This window comes from Homo sapiens, chromosome 1 (genome assembly GCF_000001405.40).
Source record: "Homo sapiens chromosome 1, GRCh38.p14 Primary Assembly".
NCBI lineage: Eukaryota > Metazoa > Chordata > Mammalia > Primates > Hominidae > Homo > Homo sapiens.
This window is the reverse complement of record NC_000001.11, coordinates 111,820,947-111,840,631: the sequence shown is the minus strand read 5'-3', so window position 1 is coordinate 111,840,631 and position 19,685 is coordinate 111,820,947. Positions and strand designations below refer to the sequence as shown.

At 44.3% G+C, this 19,685-nt stretch overlaps 1 protein-coding gene across 7 annotated transcripts in view; it reads left to right on the top strand.

Moving 5' to 3' along the window:
* The window catches only part of KCND3 (potassium voltage-gated channel subfamily D member 3), a 219,007-nt gene that overhangs the window by 149,037 nt on the left and 50,285 nt on the right, over nucleotides 1–19,685 (top strand). The window contains exon 3 of one of the 7 annotated variants that reach the window (XM_011541427.4): nucleotides 9,501–18,552. The exons of the other annotated variants lie outside the window; for them this stretch is intronic. Within the exon in view, the coding sequence (XP_011539729.1) occupies nucleotides 9,501–9,504 (4 nt within the window). The 3' untranslated portion in view covers nucleotides 9,505–18,552. Of the gene's footprint in view, nucleotides 1–9,500; nucleotides 18,553–19,685 lie in introns of those variants that run through there. 7 annotated transcript variants of the gene reach the window in all.

Below are 19,685 nucleotides of genomic sequence, written 5' to 3'. Positions count from 1 at the left end.
ACCGTGCCCACCTAAGAAAAGATACATCAAAAACAATGACTTACAAATTTCTGAATGGGGCAGTGGAGGGGAGCAGAAAATAAATCACTTTGAGAATCTAATGAAAACTCTAAACACTTCCCCCATTAAAAAAAAAAAGACACACCTATACAATGTTTTGTGTATAATTTTAGAGGGGGTTGGAGACTTAATGTTAAAATGACCTAACATAGAGGAACCAATGAAGACGCAAAGAATGCTTGCAGGGAGTTCCCACCTGGAAAAGGTGCGGGGCCCGTCAGAAGATGAGAGGGCTCCATACCAGAGGAGCAGCACCAGGGGGCACAGTACTCTGCAAGAACTGTGTCTGGAGGTCTGAGGCCAGTGTTGTGTCCCCAAAAAGTTCATATGTTGGAACCGAATTTCCAATGCTATAGTTATTAAGAGGTGGGGCCTCTAGGAAGTGATTAGGTCATAACTGCAGACGTCTCATGAATGGGATTAGTTTCCTTCCTTCTAAAAAAAATGCCCAGGGGAGCTTGTTCACCACCTTCCACCATGTGAGGATGCAGCAAGGACGGCCATCTCTGACGATCAGGCCCTCGCTGGACACCACATCTGCTGGCACCTTAAACTTGGACTTTCCAGGCTGCAGAACTGTGAGAAAGAAATGTTTGTTGTTTATAATCCACCCAGTTTATGGTATTTTGTTATAGCAGCTCGAATGGACTAAGGCACCCAGAATAAACCATTTTTTAAACAAAGAATTCCAGCCAAAAAAGGGCACTTTTGTATTTCTGTGGTTGTTACTGTTAACAGTAAGGATTCAGAATCAGACCTACCTGGTTGAATCTCAGCTTTGTGACTTTGGGCAAGTTCTTTAACCTCACCAAGCCTCTGTCTCCTTATCTGTAAAATGGAGATGATATCCATTCTCAAAGGGTTATTGTAAAAAATAAATGAGATAATGCATGGTAAGTGCTTGGCCTAGTGCCGGCACATTTGGTTCAATACATATTAGCCATCATTAGTATCATTATTCCCTGCGTGTAATGCTCTTCCTCTCCTTTTCTGACTATCAAACCCTTAAATAAAGGTTAGCTTTTAGTGGTTTTGTTATTTTTAAGTAATGCCTGAAGCAGGAAAATGAACAAGGTAAAGGACTGCTCCTTGGGGAAATGACATAATGTTAGCTTTGTCCAAAAGAAAGATCTAACAAAAGGGAATTAGGATAATGCTGAAGGGCAGGAAGGAATACAACATACCTACCTGTGTGGAGAACTGGGCCTCTGGAGAAGAGTGAGGAAAATAAAAGCACCTGCTTCTTGTTTGCTTCCATCTTTTTCACCAAAGGGAACAAATTTTGAATGAGGTCAAGACTCCAGACCCAAATACTTGGTGTCTCAGGACTGAAAGAATGGGCAGATACAATAGCTGAAATGTTGCTGGGAATTGTTGAGAAAGCACATGGAACAAAGGACATGCTCAAAGACTGGAAACAGCTTTTTCAAAAAGCAAGATTCTCGTTCTGGGTTGATCAGCCTGATGTCAAACCGATGAAACTCTAAAAAGATAGAGCAGTAAATAGATTGTTTGTGTGCACTTGGGAAAGAGATAGATACCCAGGAGCCAGCAGGGGCTCACTAAAAACAAATCATGCAAAATTTAAATGATTTCCTTTTCCTAGTAGGGTATTTTTTTTTTAGAACCCAAGGGGAATAGAATTGGCATATAGCGTGATTTCAGGAAAACATTAATGAAGTTATTCCCTATCACATTGTGAGTAAAATACAGAGATGTGATCTGGACAATAGTACAACCATTTGACTTCAAAACTGTCCTCCAAAAGTGCCAGCCCTTTTTCCCAAGTGTCAACAGAACATCTTAAAAGGTGATTTGTGAAGAGGTCTCTGTCTTTGGCCTCATCTGTTGTGTGTGCTTTTGTTGATGTTGTTGTTGTTGTTGTTGTTGTTTTTGCTTTTGTTTTTGTTTTTTTGAGACGGACTCTCGCTCTGTCGCCCAGGCTGGAGTGCAGTGGTGCGATCTCGGCTCACTGCAACCTCCGCCTCCCAGGTTCAAGCCATTCTCCTGCCTCAGCCTCCCGAGTAGCTGGGATTACAGGCGCCTGCCACCATGCCCGGCTAATTTTTTGTATTTTTAGTAGAGACGGGGTTTCACTATGTCGGCCAGGCTGGTCTCGAACTCCTGACCTCGTGATCCGCCCGCCTTGGCCTCCCAACGCGCTGGGATGTCTGTTGTGTTTTTTATAAGTAACAGTAAAAGATAGAAGCCATGTTAATGGAGGCATCCATAGCACATACCTGGGAAAATTAAATTAAATTACCAGTTGCATACAGCAGCAGGATTCAAGATGACCTCCACCACCTGGAGTGATAGGTTTACCCTGAATAAAGTGTAGAGACATCTAGAAGAATTCCAAGTATTTTATATAGATGTCCCACCCTCAAGGAGCTGGAGTACCACTCCCTACTCCGTAGTGTGGGCTGCAGGTAGTGACTTCCTTCCAAACAGTACATCACGGAAAGGAGGGGTGTAGTGTAACTTTAAGCTGACTTGACAGTGGAGAAGCCTGGCAAAATGACCTCAGCCCAGGTGAGCAAGGTTGACCTCGACAGTGACGCGTTATGTGGATCATATGTGCCCTCGGTATGACATGATGAGAACGGCACCTCTGTGGTCTCCCCCCAAAACACCCAGTCTCATTATGAAAAAAATATCAGACAAATTCCAATTGGGGAACATTCTACAAAATATCTGACCAGTACTCTTCAACACTCTCAGTGTCATCAAAATCAAAGAAAGTCTGATAAACTGACAATCTAGAGGGGCGAGGGTAGTATGTTAGTGTTTTTCGAGGGGGGGCATCTAAATTAGACACAGCTTATGGGAAAGACATCTAGGGCTTTTAGTTGACCACAGTCTCAATCCACGGTGCTGGGCAACATGGCTGTGAATACACCCGTGTGATCCTATGCTTCATCGACGGCCCTTGGGAGTCTAAATCAGGCAACTAAGTGGGACTCTGTACTGCCTAGACCACGTGGGAGTCTCAACTCTGAGCCAAAACTTCCTGGTCCAAATCCAGGCTCTGTCACATACTAGCTTTACGAGCCCAGTCAAGTCACTAAACTATTCTCATGCTTAGTTTCCTCATTTATAAATTGGGCTAATAATGATAGCTACCTCATAGAGCCATGGGACAGAGCAGGGCCCCTGGCACATAATAACTACTCAAAAATTGGATCTCTTTGAGCAGCAGAGATCTTCTTGTTTTTTAGAGTAGGCCTCATATCAGAAGGATATCTGGTATCTCAGAGAGTAGCATCAGGTGTGGGAATGTTGAGGGGCTCATGATGATACTGCAGAGAAAAGACTGGGCCTGGGAACTGTTACATCAGAGGGCAGAGTGAGGGCTAGCAGGGGAGTGACAGTCTTGGTCATTAATTCACTGAGACCCTAAGTATGTCCCTAAGCCTGTCTGGATCTTTGCTCCTTTATCTTCAAAATACAGATAAGGACACTTTTTGGTCAGTTTTATAGGGTGACTGAGAGGATAAAATGACTTAATACATATGGAAATGCACTGAATGAAAGACACTGTGGTTAATAAACATATGTTGGTATTAAAACTAACTTAAATGTTGATTTCCTTTTGTGTCAATTCACAGGGGGTGGGGAAAAGTACAAGACACTCTTACTAGAAATGCTTACTTTATTTAAACTGGAAAGCCACCAGGGACAAGTGAAGGGTACCGGGGATGGAGTTTGGAATCCTGAACTCATAGAGAAGTCAAGGCCAGACTGGAGAGAATCCACAGGCCTTAGACTCAGAGGTGGGATCTTGGGAAATTTACCCAACATCTGTCAACCTGTTTCTGAGCCATAAAATGGCTCAGGGGTCGCTGGGGGTCTATTTGCATGAACAGGTTAGCACTCAGCAAGCTCCTTATAATCTGCCCCTCTGGAAGCTATGAGGAAATGGTGGTGATCCTAATACCGCTACCCACAGGGTCTGTCAGGTGAGATGGTCACTGCCCTTGGAGGCTTCTGGAGGTCAGAAGAGAAAAAGCCCACCCTCACAGGAAACAAACCTAGAAGGTGCAGGGAAGCAACTAAGAGAGCAACTAACAGAGTCCAACAGAGTACAGACTGAGAATCATAACCCATCCCAGACTCTTTAACAAACACTTTCTATCAAAATCTTGCCAGTTGAGAAGATTCTTTGTAAAGTCGGAGCCCAGAGAAAATCAGATTACTGGGAGGGAGTGCGATCGGGCTGGTGCGAGAGACGGGGAGTCATTGCCAAGCTGCCCGCAGGGACTGTGGCTTACAAGGAAACATGGGGAGCCCCAAGAAGGCAGGCGGCCCAAACTGGCAGTGCCCAGTTCCAGACAGGGATGTGGCAGAGACAGTACCCATGACTTGGTTCTTCAGGATTCATGTTGACTTGTCACAAACCTCAGATGACCAAAAGTCTCTTGTCCAGGATCCACCCATGTGAACTTCAACATCCTTCAGGACATAAAGCCATGCATTATGCCCAAATTTTCATTCCCTAGAGATTTCTGAAGATGTTACCACATGCCTTTGGAGAAAAAAGCAACAGCAAGGTAATCAAAAAATTTTACAGAGCCTGCAGGTACACTAGATGATCACAGATGTGTTACCAGAAAGGGGTTCTGATCCAGACCCCAAGAGAGGGTTCTTAGACTTCACACGAGAAAGAATTTGAGGTGAGCCTATAAAGTGAAAGCAAGTTTATTAAGAAAGTAAAGGAATAAAAGAATGGCTCCTCCATAGGCAGAGCAGCAGCATGGACTGCTCGACTAAATATGCTTGTAGTTATATCTTGATTATATGCTAAACAAGTGGTGGATTATTCATAAGTTTTCTGGGAAAAGGGCAGGGATGTCCCAGAACTAAGGGTTCCTACCCTTCTTAGACTATATAAGGTAACTTCCGGATGTTGCCATGGCATTTCTTAACTGTCATGGCATTGGTGGGAGTGTCTTTTAGTATGCTAATGATTATAATTAGAATATAATGAGCAGTGAGGATGACCAGAGGTCACTTTCATTGCCATCTTGGTTTTGGCCAGCTTCTTTACCGCATCCTGTTTTATCAGCAGGGTCTTTGTGACCTGTTTCTTGTGCCAACCTCCTATCTTATTCTGTGACTTAGAATGCCTAACCCCCTGGGAATGCAGTCCAGTAGGTCTCAGCCTTATTTTACGCAACCCCTGTTAAAGATGGACTTGCTCTGGTTCAAACACCTCTGACAGATGGATCTGGATTTACATAAAATGACACAAATACTGATTTTCTGAATATCTGTTGGTAAAATCAACAACTAAAAATGATCCTCTCCCTGCCCTCCAACCGCCTACCCACCCATTGTCAAGCCACGGAGGCTCCCCGCAGGGGCCAGCACAAAGATCTGAATGCAGAGCTTCCAAAGGTCAGGAATTAGACCCTCAGCTAGATGTGGCTGACTCCCTCCCAGATCCCTGGCCCCCAGCGCTGCCTCAATCTCTGTAGGTTGCTTTGGAGGATGATCTGCCTGGCGTTTCTCTGAGAAACAGCTCTCAGCTTAACTCTTAGAGGCACTGAGCACCCTCCAAGCCCCAGGGATCCAGGTTGCCTCCTGTTCTTCCAAGTTGGTCTGAACCCATTGGATGCAATGGGTTGGCTTCTCTGCACTCATAACAGGGCCCACATTTTAAGAAGGATATTGACAGACTGAAGCATGTCCACAGCTGGGCATCCTGGCTGATGGAGGGCCTGGCCCATGTCCTACTGGGAAAGTTGAAGAGGGGCTTGCTGGTTGTCTTCAACTATCTGCAGGATCATCCCTTATAAAAAGATGTAATAAATTTCTGTGTTTCTTCAGAAGGCAAAATGAGGACCCAGGTATGGGAGTTAAAGATTTGGGCTTAATTCTGAGGCAGACTTTTTCACAGTTGGTGTCTCTGATAGTCTGATTGCATGGAAAAGTAATTAGTTCTTCATTATTGCAAAAGTTCAAAGCCTGGGTGACCTCTTGTCAAGACTGGTGTTGAGGAGTTCCACTTTGAATGAAAGATTGAATTAGAAGATCTCTAAACTCCTTTCCAAGTTTCAGATTATATATGTTTCTGTGTTCTCAGTAAGTACAGAGAGCAGACACTAAGGATTGGAGCTTAGCCAGAAGGAACTGAGACAAATATGGAGAATGGGGAGAAAATCCTTAAGTTTAGCAAGTCTTGGGGTTGGTTTTTCAAGCTCTTGTGTTTTGTTTTTCAAGCTCTTCTCAGCAGAAAGGGCAGTAAATATGAGTCTAAGTCCCAGGATCAGATTTGGCTTCTGCTTTGGTGTTTAAAGACATCTCCCCCTTACAAGAAAATTCTCTCCAAATCCTAGTGGGCATCTATAGCTACTTTTATTCCCTGGACTTTACCCTCTTTTCCAACTCCAAGGTGAGTTGGAACAGGGAGAGAGCTAGATGCAGATCTGTAACCCCCTTCACTGGTCAAATCCTTGGTCTGATCCCTTGTAAAATGACAGAGTAGATAAATGGCATTAGGCCTCTTCAAGTGGCCATCTCAAGTGACTCAGAGTTTTACTTCCCAGCTTATCAAGGATTTTCATACCTGATTGGATAACTGATCTTCCATCTACTCCTGGCCTGTGTGCCCTGGGCCCTGAATCCAGGCCCTGGACAGTCCTTCTCCCTCCTGAAATAAGTCCCCTTCAGGCCCACTTCTTGTTGGGTTTCCCTTATTCTTTCTTTTTCAGTTTCTTTGATCAGATTAGTTTGTTCTTTTTAAAGGTTTTTAACCACCACTGCCCACCACCACCTTCCTTGAATATCTATCTACACACTATTTCTCAGCTATCTATGTGAGGAGATACCCCCGGAGATTAAGAAATTGATTAATTAGGTGATATTGAGAGAGTCTGTTTTAGACTTCTGGCCTTCGTATATGGGCAGCAGAAGGCAGAGTAATTGTGCCAGAAATCAGCACCACCAACATTTGGACAGCGTTCTCTTTAATTTGTTCTCTTTTCCTCATCCAACAAATTCTGGCTGGCTTGCTGCTCTTGCCCTGACCTGCCTGAATTTCTTATTTTGAGCATGATTCCTAAGAAACTGAGGACTTGTTACCAGCTTGAAGTATAATTTCAAGCAAGTTACCTTTCTTTCTGGGCCTCAGGCTCCTTGTCATTGAGCCTTTGACTGCCCCTATGGGCTTCATTGGGAAAGGCCATTCAATAAGGATATATTGGATACCGATAAAACGAGTGCAAGGTTCCAGGCTGCTTGCAAGCAAGGGAAGGTCTGCACTAATCATCCCAGATTCTAAAAGGTTTCCAGCATCTGTCAAGATCCAAGTATAAACTGGGCACCATAATTGGGCCCTTAGTATCTCTAGCAAGTTTGCTTGACACCTCTGCAGAGCAGTGGATGGATCAGACATAGTGTCAAGTGGTGAGCCTGTTAATGTGCAAAGCACAGAGATGTCAAAACTGGCAAAAAGAAAAGCCTCCAGTTCTTCTCAATCTCCGTAAAAACAAGTGAATGCAGATGCTCAGCTGTCACCAGGAACCAGGGACCAAGGCCAGTTTGGCAACACTGCCAGTGTATGGTCCTGCTGCTTTCTTGGCTCTCGCCCCTCTTGCTTCCCACCTGCCCCTGAAACTTTAATTACCTCCTGGACCCAGTATGATGTCTGTTTGCTGGTGGTGAGCTGGAGGAGGGAGGAGAGATGGCTCCTGGAGAAATACAGAAGCCCATCAGTCTTCACAGCAACCATAGGGAACAGAGCGGCTGCTTTTAGTTATAAAGACATCTTGATGGGAAGATTTACCAAAGAGGTATTTATTCCGTTAGAACTACACCTCCCTTCAGCCTCGTTATCTTCGGCATCACATTTATCATTCTGCCACTGCATTCTGGGCGGGGTGGGGAGCGGGGACACACAGAAACTCTGTCTGAATCGAAACTGAGTTTTCAGATGGAGCAGTTCTGAGTCTAGGTAACCAGCAGGACCAGGGGCTCAGCTTTCCCTGCACTGTCTTGGAAATCGTTCTGGCTGCTACATGCTTTAGGGAAGGGGCATCAGAGAGATGTTTTCAGAAAAAAAGGAAAGGGAGTGAGATAATGGGGAAATATATGGGTAAAAATGATAGATGATTGGAGAATTATAGTAATGTTTATTACAGATGGCTTTGGTCGACAAAACCCTCCCTGGAAACCTTTCTGGAACTTAGAAAGTCTCCAGAAAAAGAACAAAAGAAGAACTGCCAGATCTGGTCCACATTGTCACCCAACGTCCCAGGCTTCTCTCGGAGTTACAAACCATAGGTTCTTCACCATTGTGTCTAGGCACTCTTACATGCACATGCTTGGGACCACATGCACCCCACCTTTTAAAGAGGCCTTGTCATTGGCTTCTTGATCCTTAGCCTGGGAAGGTGTAGACCCAATGTGGGTGAATGTACAGTGTGCTGAGTCTGTGCCTTTGATTTCCTAGATACTTCCTGAGTAAGGGGAGACCTGTGGTGTGGGTAATGGGATGGGAGGCAAGTAGAGAGGCTGTTCCAGCTAGAGTTATGATTAAAGCAGTATATTCCCCCCATTGAGGATCCCAGTTCAGTGGGCTTCCATAACCATGCCTGGAGCCCTGTGCCCATTGTTCTGGAGATATGAAAGAAGGAGGCATTCTAATCCCTGTGCTCTGGGAGATTATAGTCTGTCAAAGGGAAAACTTACAGACTCAGCAGTTCCCATTCCTGGCCTCAAGGATCTCCTAGAGAGTTTTTAAAAATATGTATCTCTGAATCCTGTAAATCAGTGTATCTCTGAAGATGTGTTGGACTTGGAGAGGCTGGGCATTTTATGGACTCTCCAGGTGATTCTCGTGGGGCCAGCTCAGTATAGATCTGTGGATCCACATTTGAGAACATTTAAATTGGGCAGTTAGTGAAGACTTCCTGGAGTAGGTGAGACCTGAGTTGTTACCTTGAAGGGAAAAATAGAATGGGAAGGTAGGACGTATTAGAACCTTCTCACTCTGCTATAAAGAAATACCTGAGACTGGGTAATTTATAAAGAAAAGAGGCTTAATTGGCTCATGGTTCTGCAGGCTGTCCAGGGAGCATGGCTGGGGAGGCCTCAGGAAACGTACAGCCAGGGGAAGCAGGCTCTTCTTACATGGTGGGAGCAGGAGGAAGAGGTTGGGGGAGGTGCTACACACTTTTAAACAACCAGATCTCCTGAGAACTCACTCACTATCATGAGAAATCTGCCCCCAGGATCCAATCACCTCCCACCAGATCCCTCCTCTGACATTGGGGATTACAATTCAACATGAGATTTGGGTGAAGACACAAATCCAAACCATTATCACAGGAAAAGTACAGGAAGAGCAAAAATGACAAAAGGTAAAGGCATTCAGGACAAGAGTTTTGAGCCTGTGAAAGGAAGAGTCTTACCTTCATCAATTTTCTCTTTCCCTACAGATGAAAGGGGGAGTCAGCACAGCCGGTGTCAGAGGAAAGCAAGTGTGGAAAACCTTCCAGGCCAGGAGGGTGCTGCCTGAGGCATCCACCCTAACTTCTCTGAAGTCCTGTTTAGTCACAAAATTCATGCAACCAGTGCTTATTATAAGCAATGTTTTCCACATTGTCTAGTTTAACAAAGCAGTTCTTCAACTTTCTGGTTTCAGAAAAATTACCAAGAATCCCAATGACCTTTTATTTCTGTGGAATATGTAGGGTTAGAAATTTAGCACTGTGAATTTTTAAATGTTTTTAAATACTTGTTTATTAATTCATTTTAAAATAACATATCCCATTACACATTAAAATACATTTTATGGAAAATATATTTCCAAAATTTAAAAAACCTGGAAGAGTGGCATTGTTTTATATTTTTGAAAATCTCTTTAATGAATTAGAAGACAGCTGGATTCTCACATCTGCATCTGCATTCAATCTGTTGATATCTGTGGTTTTGTTTGTAGTATATAAAGAAAACCAGCCTTACACAGCAGGGCGCAGACTCAGGGCTGAAAACCTAAGGAGCCACCCACTCTTGAGGTCCTGCAAGGGTAGGGTTGTCCCTGAGAGTGAGGGCCTCCTTAAATTTTGCACTCAAGGGCCCTGCCTTGTCTCACTTGGGTCCTAGCCTGGTCAGGCGGGAAAAACCACTGGCTTAAGATATGCTCCAGGGATTGCAAGGAGGGTCTCCTACCTGGAATATAGGCCAAGATACAAAGTCATGAATGAGTGCAAGGTCTGAGGAACCGCACTGGGCCCAGATCTGAGCAAGCCTTTTATGCTGCATGAAGAAACAGGCCTTTATCTGGAAGGCTATGAGGAGCCACAGAAGAGTCAAGCAGGGAGTGATGGGATCAGATTTGCATTTTTAGATTCATTCATTTGTTTGTTAATTGATATGTATTGAGCTCCTATTGTGTGCTGGGCACTGGGAATAACAGTGAACAGAGGTTTCTGTTCTCATAGAGCTCACATTGTGGGGAAGCAGATAATAAATGAATATAGATCTATAGATCCACGCTGCTGACGTAGAAAGATGGACCGGAGGATAATTAGATGGAGGGGAGAAGAGTTCAGGCAGTTGGAACAATAGCCACCGAAGAGTCGATAGTGAACAGAATGGCAGTAGAAATGGAGTAGGCGAGAACATGAGAGGGTCAACGCAACACTAAGGATGCAGCCACCAGTGCTACCTGGGAGAAATCAAAGGTGATGCCCAGCTTCCACCTCAGGCAGTCGGGTCTACTGTGATTTGGGCACCCAACAGGAGAAGCATTTGGGGGGGATAATCCATTTTGTTAGCAACAACACGTTGAGTTTGAAGAGCCTGAGAGGATGGGGTCATTTGGGTGGAGATGTCCAGTGAGGTGCTGGGTTATATAGGTCTGACCTTCAGAATGGAGGGCGGGACGAGGGATTGGATTGTGAGAGCTGTCAACCATTCAGGAGGTGAGTGGATAATGGCATTCAGGAACAGTGCTCAGAGTGAGACCGGGGACACTTATTCCTGCCACTCTTCCTCAAAGTCAGCGTATCTGAAATCAGATTTGTAGTCTTTCCCCCATCCCTGAAGACCATTCTCCAACTTAATTAATGACACCAACAACCTTGCATCTATTAGAGCTAGAAACCTGAGGTTCAGCCTGGATGCTGTCTCCTGCTCAGCTCCCACCTACCATGGCCTCATGATCTACCAGCTCTCTCACCTTGTCTGCCACACCCCCAAACTGCTGCTTCACTCTTCCAGCCCATTTCTTCTGTCTGGAAGGCCCATTTGAATTGTCCCTACCACTCTCATCAGAAACATCCACCTAAGAAATTCCTACTCATTCTTCAAGACCTGCTCTAGCATCCCCTTTCATTTTAGGTCGCCCCATATCCCTGCAACCGCACAACCACACAGCCTGAGACATAATTGTTCGTCCTCTTTAGTTTCCAATTTCGTGACCATGACTCTGTTTAACACTCATAACACTGCAGCGCAACCATTTGCTCACATGACTTTCTCTCTTACTACAGTGAAACTCACATGACAGAAGAAAATAGATTGAATTGTCTTTGTAGCATTTGTTTCGCGGGTGGCTCCTGAATGAATGCTAAGACCTCAACCAGATGGGTTTACTGAGAAAGGCAGAAAGCCAGGACCAGAACTAGGAAAGTGACCCTCCCCAGCTAGTCTACCCAGCATCTAGGTCAATGGGAATCCAGTCTGGGGTATAAGCAAGACCACAGTGGGCTGTGAGCATGGTAAAACTCAAGCAAATAGGAAGCAGTACCTTGGTTCCAGGGGCCTCATGCAGCAGTGGCTGGGGTGGCTAATGGACGGTGGCAACAGCAAAGAGCAAAGCAGTGGATCCGAGTAAAAGGACAGAGAGCTGAGCAGAGCTGGTGGCAGGATGGGGGGTCTCTCCATACCCCAGCACACCAGGCATATGGTGCATAGCAGATCCCAGAGCTCACCTGGGGTAACAGTGAAGATAGGTCCTACTCAGGATGGTCCTGGGGCTGGGGATTACTGAGCCTTCTTGAGTGAAATGCCTCTGAGCCTTCCAGCCAGAAGGGTTTGTCCAGGTAGCAGTGATAACACCTGTTGTTTGTGGGGACAGTGAGGAATCTGGCCTAACTAGGGCAAAGGGTTTGCACTGGTGACTAATGGGAGATGCAGTTGAATAGTATAAACATACTCTTTTTTATCTATTCAATCAAGAGAAGTAACAGCTACAAACCCAGACAGAAGCCCATAAAATGAGACAATTATTTTGAGATGGCCACAGGTAGACGGAAGTAAAGGTTAGATCCTATCCTTGTTCACAAAGACACGGGTAAATTGTGTGAATACCAAGCTCTGTGAGGAAAGGCAAAAGCTTTGTAAGACTTGCTGCCCACACCAAACACAGCCCTGAGCCCAGCGAACATAGATGGAGCTGTCATCACAGGGAGTTGCTTCCCACTCCAGATATGCCCCGTCAGTGCTGCTGCTTGGGGCAGAGCGGCAAGCCTTGGGCTCAGAAATGCTGCTTCCAGAAGCCCATAAACAAAAGGCAGCTGTCTGCTCTCCCTCTTCCAAGAATTCTTAGCAAGTACCAGTTTTCATTAATGGGAAGCAAATCCACTAATGGCATTCAGGAACAGCGCTCAGAGTGAGACCAGGGGCCTCACTCTTTTCTCTTATTCTCTATCCCAGGGCTCTAGAAAAAAGATAGCAGGGCCCCCTGCTGCATCCCTTGGAGCCCCATTTCTTCTTCCTCTGCTCAGCCCTGGCTGGTCATCAGGGTATCCTGGAGCAGGAGGGAGAGAAGAGCTCCATCATATCAACATTCCTCACCCAGGAGGGCAGAGAGCAAAGTGAAGATAATATACAGACTTTGGAATTGCACAGGCTTGCCAGTTGGAGATGTGTAACCTCTCTAAGACTCAGTTTCCTCATATATAACATGGTTGTAATAACAGTACCAGCCTCATAGGATTGTTACAAGATCTTTACATGTAAAGTTCTTAGTCCAGCGCTTGGCATGTACTTACTGCTCAATATAAGTTAGCTGCTGCCACTGTGATTATTATCTGCTCCTGGCCCTCATTGGAATTCCAGTGCTTAACTTGCGATGGAGGCAGGTAACAAAATTCTGTCTGCTTAGTGTCCTGGGACCCCTGGCAATATCTCGGATTCCTGTGCAAGATGTGTTCCTGCATCGTGAACCCACTGAAAGTCAAGGGACCAAGTGCTGGGGGTCACAGGACATGGGTGTGCTTACTTGGGCTCCACCCCTAGGCTGCACCAGCTGCCTTACCTCTCCTCTTGGCACTTGTATTTCCTGTCTCTGCTTTCACTCATGGGCAATTCCAACCGTCATCTGCGTACACATCTGTTCTCATAGCAACATACACTACATATGCATGTCTTCCAGCTTTGCTGTACACTTAGGCAAACTACTTAACCACTCTGTGCCTTAGTTTTCCCATCCAAAAACTGGAAATAATCATACAGGCTAAGTATTCCTAATCCCAAAATTCCAAATCTGAAACACTTCAAAATCTGAAACTTTTTGATTGCTGACATGATGCACAAAGAAAATGCTCAGTGGAGTATTGGATTTGGGATTAGGGATGCTCAACCATAAGTTTAATGTGAATATTCCAAAATCTAAAGAAGTCCAAAATCCAAAACACTTCTGGTCCCAAGCCTTTTGGATAAGGGATACTCAACCTGTAGTACCAGCCTCATAGGGTTGTTGGAGATTAAACCAGGTAATTAATGTGAAGCACTTAGAACAAAGATCAGCATATTTCAGGTGATCATTAAACATTAGCTGTTATTATCATGACTATTATTATTATTATAATAGAAACTTCACATCTCCCAGTAGTAGGGATTTTGCTCTGAGGCGCCACTGTCCTATTGAAACCCTGAATGAACTCTTCAGCCTTAGGAAACATTCAGAAACCATGAACTCGTTGACATAGTAAACCACCTGTGAGTGACCTCTTGACCCAAATAAGCATTAAACGTAGAAAGATTAAGAGCCCTGAGCCAAACCTGAGGGCCTGAGACCTGCATGTCTTTGTATGTTCATGGCAGATGATGGTGGGTGTGTGCACATACAAAGGAAGAGCACGTGGCATGAGAGCAGACACGTGTCCTAGACCTGAAAGTTGAAAGTCAAGGTTTTATGGTCCATGGCTGCACACTCTAAAAGAAAACATCTCACAAGGAGTGAGAGACTCTAAAAATGAAATTAGAACAAGAAATTCACATATACTTCCAACAAGGAAGAAAAATGAGACATCTAAAGAAATCAATGTGGCTACCTGGGAAACCTCTAATGAACCTAGATTTTAAAAGCCAAAAACTATATTTACAGCAAATATTGGATAAATTGTTAATATCTTTAATATATAAAGAGCTCGTGCAAATCAGTAATGAAACCCCTAAGGCAAAATAGAAAAGTGAATCAAGGATGTAATAAACAATTCGCTAAAGAAGAAATAAAGCTAGCTTTCCAACAGATGGAAAATCTTCAATCTTACTAGTAATCACAATGAAAATTCAAACAACTAGATAGCTATTTTTGGCTTGCAAATTAGCAAAGACTTTGATTTTGATTTTTAGTGAGTACCCTACCCAATGCTGGTGAGGGTGCAGCAAAATAGTCTCATTCAAACACTGCACGTGGGATATGGCACTCAGGAGAGTCACTTCTTGGATCTCTCCCGAGGAAATAGTGCTACTTTAGAAATACTGTTATTAATAATATTTGTATAAGCAAAAATTAGAAAGAATCAGAATGCATCCATGTAGAATAATGCTTATTATTATTTCAGATGGTAGTGTGGGAAAAAGCAGGAGACAAAATTATACACACAATATGTAAGTATGATTTAAAAGAAAAACAAGACTAGAAGAAAACAAAATACAATGATGGTATCTTTGGGTGGTGGAAGCATGGATGATTTGTTTAATTCTTTCTGCATTTTTGCTTGGTGATCAGATTTCTTACAATGATTGTGCATTACTTTTATTATGGAAAAAATAAACTTTATTGTAATACTGGAGATGTAGAAAGAATAGGAAGAGAGCTCACACCATGGAAGACAAATCCAACAGACAAGTGCATTCCTGTGGTCCAGTGTCAGGGATCCTTAAAGCTTCAAGTGGATCTGGCTTATGGGCAGAGCTACAATCAACATGAGGAACTTGTACTGTGTGAACATGGCAGAGATTAGTGTGCTGCCTGGGAAGTATGTGCGGCATTTAAGAACAACCTGAGCTGATGGGCCATTGTGCCACAAAGTAGGAAGAATCCTGGACCTCGGACATATGGGTCAAAAAATACTAACAGTGTCATAGACATCACTGATATCGGTGATCACCAGCCTAGTCCACCACTTCCCAAAGTGTGGACCCTGGATCACTGGTGGGCTCAGAATGACTCCAAATAATGCTGAAGCAGTTTAGGTGGTGTATGGACATGGAATTATTATTTTTAAGTTTTTCTTCTTGAATTTTCTTTCAATCTTTCTAGTGATACCAAAGAGAAGTCTTAATTTGATGCTAGGATATCTTTAACACTGTTACTGAAATGTCAGGGGTTTGGTCTGGGTCCTGCTGCTTGCCACACAGAAAGCCAATCACTGAGACAACAAGTGCTGCCAGGGAAGAAGGCTTTATTCAGGGCTGCAACCAAGGAGAATGGGAGATCAGTCTCAAATCCATCTCCTCAACCAACTGAAGTTAGGGATTTATATATAACAGCAGGAAAGAAATGTAACTATGTGTGGAAAAACAGGATTTAAGGAGGGGTAAGGAAGAGGGGTTGGAAAACAGGAATCGCCATGGATGAGGGGTCTGGCATCTCATGTCTGGATGCAGTGATCTGGTGAGTTTCAGATCCCTGATACTCTCTGGGAGGCCTGAGGGTCGGTTTTCTGAGGATGGGACTCAAATAAGATAAATGTAAGTTTCGAGCTTTAAGATCAAGAGGGTCCATTTCTATGTTTATCCAAAAAACAGTAAACATCAGTTTGATGGAACAGTTGGGCCGGTTTCAACACCTCTTTAACCCTTGCTCATCTCCCTTTCTAACCAAGTAGGAGCAGGCTTCAGGCTCAGTTCCTTAAGCAGACAACAGCATCTGGCTAGAATTCAGTAATGCAAGTGGTGTGTGGGTATGGCAGAATCACCAGGGCAGAAGAAGAATTAAAGTAGTTTGGTAAACACTGAACTAGTCCAGAACTTTGGGCATCTGGGACATAAAGGGTCAGGGAGGGAGGGTGATTTGCTGCAAGTCAACCAACTGGTCAACACCAGACCAAGCCTGGTCTCCCTGCTTCAACTACCGGCCCTTTCCCCAAGCTCTTCTGCTCTCCACGTGGAGCTGTCAGTATTTCTCCACTTTCCTTCAAAAAGCAGACCTAGTACTATCTTGTTCTTTGCTGTCTTTGTTATTTCTTGTTTGAGCTTTTTTTTTTTTTTTTTGGAGTTGGAGAAGGCATGGGATCATGCTATTAGCATAACTAAAAATGTTTTTAGTTTGCCTCTGCATTTTCCCCAAGCCTCAGCTTTTCCTAAAAATCCAGCATCTTCTGCATCCTTCCCTGGGGACCACACTACTCCTCAGTGCTGGGCATTGTCTGTTTACAACTAAAGCAGATTTTTTCTTTTGCTTTTGTCTTCAAATGTGAGCTTTTCAGAGTCTCTAGTGCAACCATATTAGTGTTTTAGATGCTTCCTGATTATAGTTATTTGTGCTTATGTAGTCAGAATTTCCCCCAAAGTGTTTCTGGATATGGATTTACACCTCAGTTCTGCCTGGGCTGCTAACTAGCTGAGGGACCTTGTGCAAGTCATTCACCCTCACTGAACAGGTAATAGCACTGCCCTACTTAGCTCTGAGGGTTGCCATGAGGACCAAATGAGTGGTAGTCACAAAGATGCTTTGCAGGGCATAATGGACCCCACATAATGCACCCCACAATGAAATGTGTTATTCAGCTCCTATTTTTCTTTTGCTTTTCCCATCAAGAAGAATGCTCTTCAGATTGGACAGTGTAAAACCAGCATCATTAAAAAAAGAACTAAAGCTCAAAATAGGAGCAAAGATAGAGAGCAGCTCAGTCTTTAAAGGAACTCAATCCCTGAGTGTCTCAGAACCATCAGGCCTGATCTGCAGAGCTGTGATGGATGTGTCAGGCTATGTTATGTCAGGGACCAGAGTAGGTTCCATGGAGGGAGAACAGGAGGGCCCGTGAGGGCTTTGGCCACTGTCACTGTGAGAAACCGTTGAAAAAAAAACTATGAAATTTAGATAAGAAAAGACTCAAAAGATGGCACACACATGCCACTGCCTGCTTAGAATTAGAGATTCCTCCAAGAACCTCACGATTTGTGGAACACCTCTCCCCACCCCACACCCTGCCCTGCCCCCCAGGACATTCCTCAGAATCTCACCATCTTCCCAGCAGGCCCCTCAGCAGTAATGGGGAAGAAGTAGACAGCCAAGGAAGAGTAGGATCCTTGCTTCTGTGATTCCGCCCATAGCCACCCCGTGGGTCCCCCGCCGTCTGTCTGGGTTCAGTTTGTGCCTCCACACTTATAAACCGTGTGACCTTGGGCAGGGGCTGTGTCTTGAATTTCCCATCATATGGAAATGATATCTTGTTCATAGTCTTGTTACAGAGTTTAGACAAGATGACATAAAGTTCTTAGCACGAGTTCTTCTCAAAAGACGCTAGGTTGTTTTTGTTTGTTTGTTTTTGCCTTCTCCATTTCCTGTAGCCCTATCTATTTCTGATTATAAAAAGAGGACTGTTTCAAAAAATTAAACATAAGCTTACCATATGATCCAGCAATTCCACTTCTGGTGGTATACACACCCAAAAGAATTGAAAGAATTGAAGGCAGGACTCCAACAGGTATTCATATGCCCATACTCATAGCAGCATTATTCACAGTAGCCAAAAGGTGGGAACAACCCAGTGTTCATCCGTGGATTAATGGACAAGCAAACTGTGGTCTATCCTTACAGTGGAATATTATTCAGCCTAAAAAGGAAGGAAATTCTGACACATGCTACAACATAGATGAACCTTGAAGACACTGTGGTAAGAAAAATAAGCCAGACACAAAGGACAAATACTGTATGAGTCTACTTATATGAAGTATTTAGAGTAGTCAAATTCATAGAGAGAGAAAGTGGAATTATGGTTACCGGCGGGGCAAGAAGAGAGGGTATGGAGTTTCAGTTTGGGAAGATGAAAAGAGCTCTGGAGATGGATGGTGGCGATGGTTGCGCAACAGTTTAAACAATGTCACCAAACAGTACGCCTAAAAATCACACATAGATAAAATATACATTTTATGTTATATATATCTTACTACAGTTAAAAAATTGCTTACACGACAAACATATTTTAATTTCAGTTATGACATAATTTTAGAGATATTAAAATGTGAAAATCACATAAATCTTTAGAATAAAAAGAATATGGTTTTTAACACTCAAAAAAAAAAAAGAAAGACTGCTTGAGCCCCCACATACAGAGGAGGTTAGAAATATAATCCATGGCTCATTGTCAAGGGCATGGAGAGACCAATCCTTAAGGGGAAATCCCAGTCAGAGTATTGCTTATAATTGCCTGGAAAGAGCCCCCATTACTCACAGTTCTGGGGGACAGGGTAGACACTGCAGGAGATGAACCCCGCATCTTCTGTAACATCAGCACACACACACACCCTCAGAGCCAGCCATCCCCACCACCCACTTCCAAACAGCAGAGGGGCTGCAGGATGCTCAGGGTCCCAGGGACTGTCCCCCTGGCCCCTGCAGGAGGCCATGCCTGCTGGCAGAGATGACAAGAGCCCAGGGTGAGACACATCTGGCTGTTCGTACTGGAGGAGGAGAAGACACTAACTGGGCCTCCAGTTGGGGGTGGTGAGGAGAAGCTCACCACTGGGTGTTTCCAGAATGTGTCCTGAGCCCCACAGCCTTCAGCTTACCTCTTAGAAAAGCCAAATCCCAGAGCAACCCTGTGACCCAGGACCAGAGCTGGCCACCCAGGGCTTCCTGAGCAGGCGGGAAACCAGGCATCTCTGAGTCCTCTGTCCAGCACCACCATAGACCCAGCACATTTCTAATGGCTTCAGTTAATGGTGCCAAAGATACCCGCTGTGCACTCAAGGCCTCTGAGCTGGCTGACTCACATCAGAAGACAAAATCACACCAGCTGCATTTCCAGGTGCCACGCTGTCTAGCTGTTGAGACCCAGGACTCCTGTCCTGGAACCAGCTCTGCTGCCAGCTAACTGTAAGGTAAATGACCTCGCTGGGCCTTTAACACCCATCCATAAAATATTTACTACATTCCTTGCCCCTAGGACCTCTGCAGATGGGGCGTGAAAATCTGTGGTGCATTCCACAGGCATTTACTGAGCACCTAATCATCTGAAGACAGCACACGGATCTCTTAGAAGGATAATGAGAAGGGTAAAAACAGATCCTGTCCTTGAAGAGCATACTCGTGTCTTAGGGCTGCCATAACAATGTATCACAAACTAGCTAGCTTAGAACAACAGAAATTTATTGTCTCACAGTTCTGGAGGCTGGAAGTCCAAGGTTAAGGTGTAGGCAGGGTTGGTTGGTCTTGGAAGGTT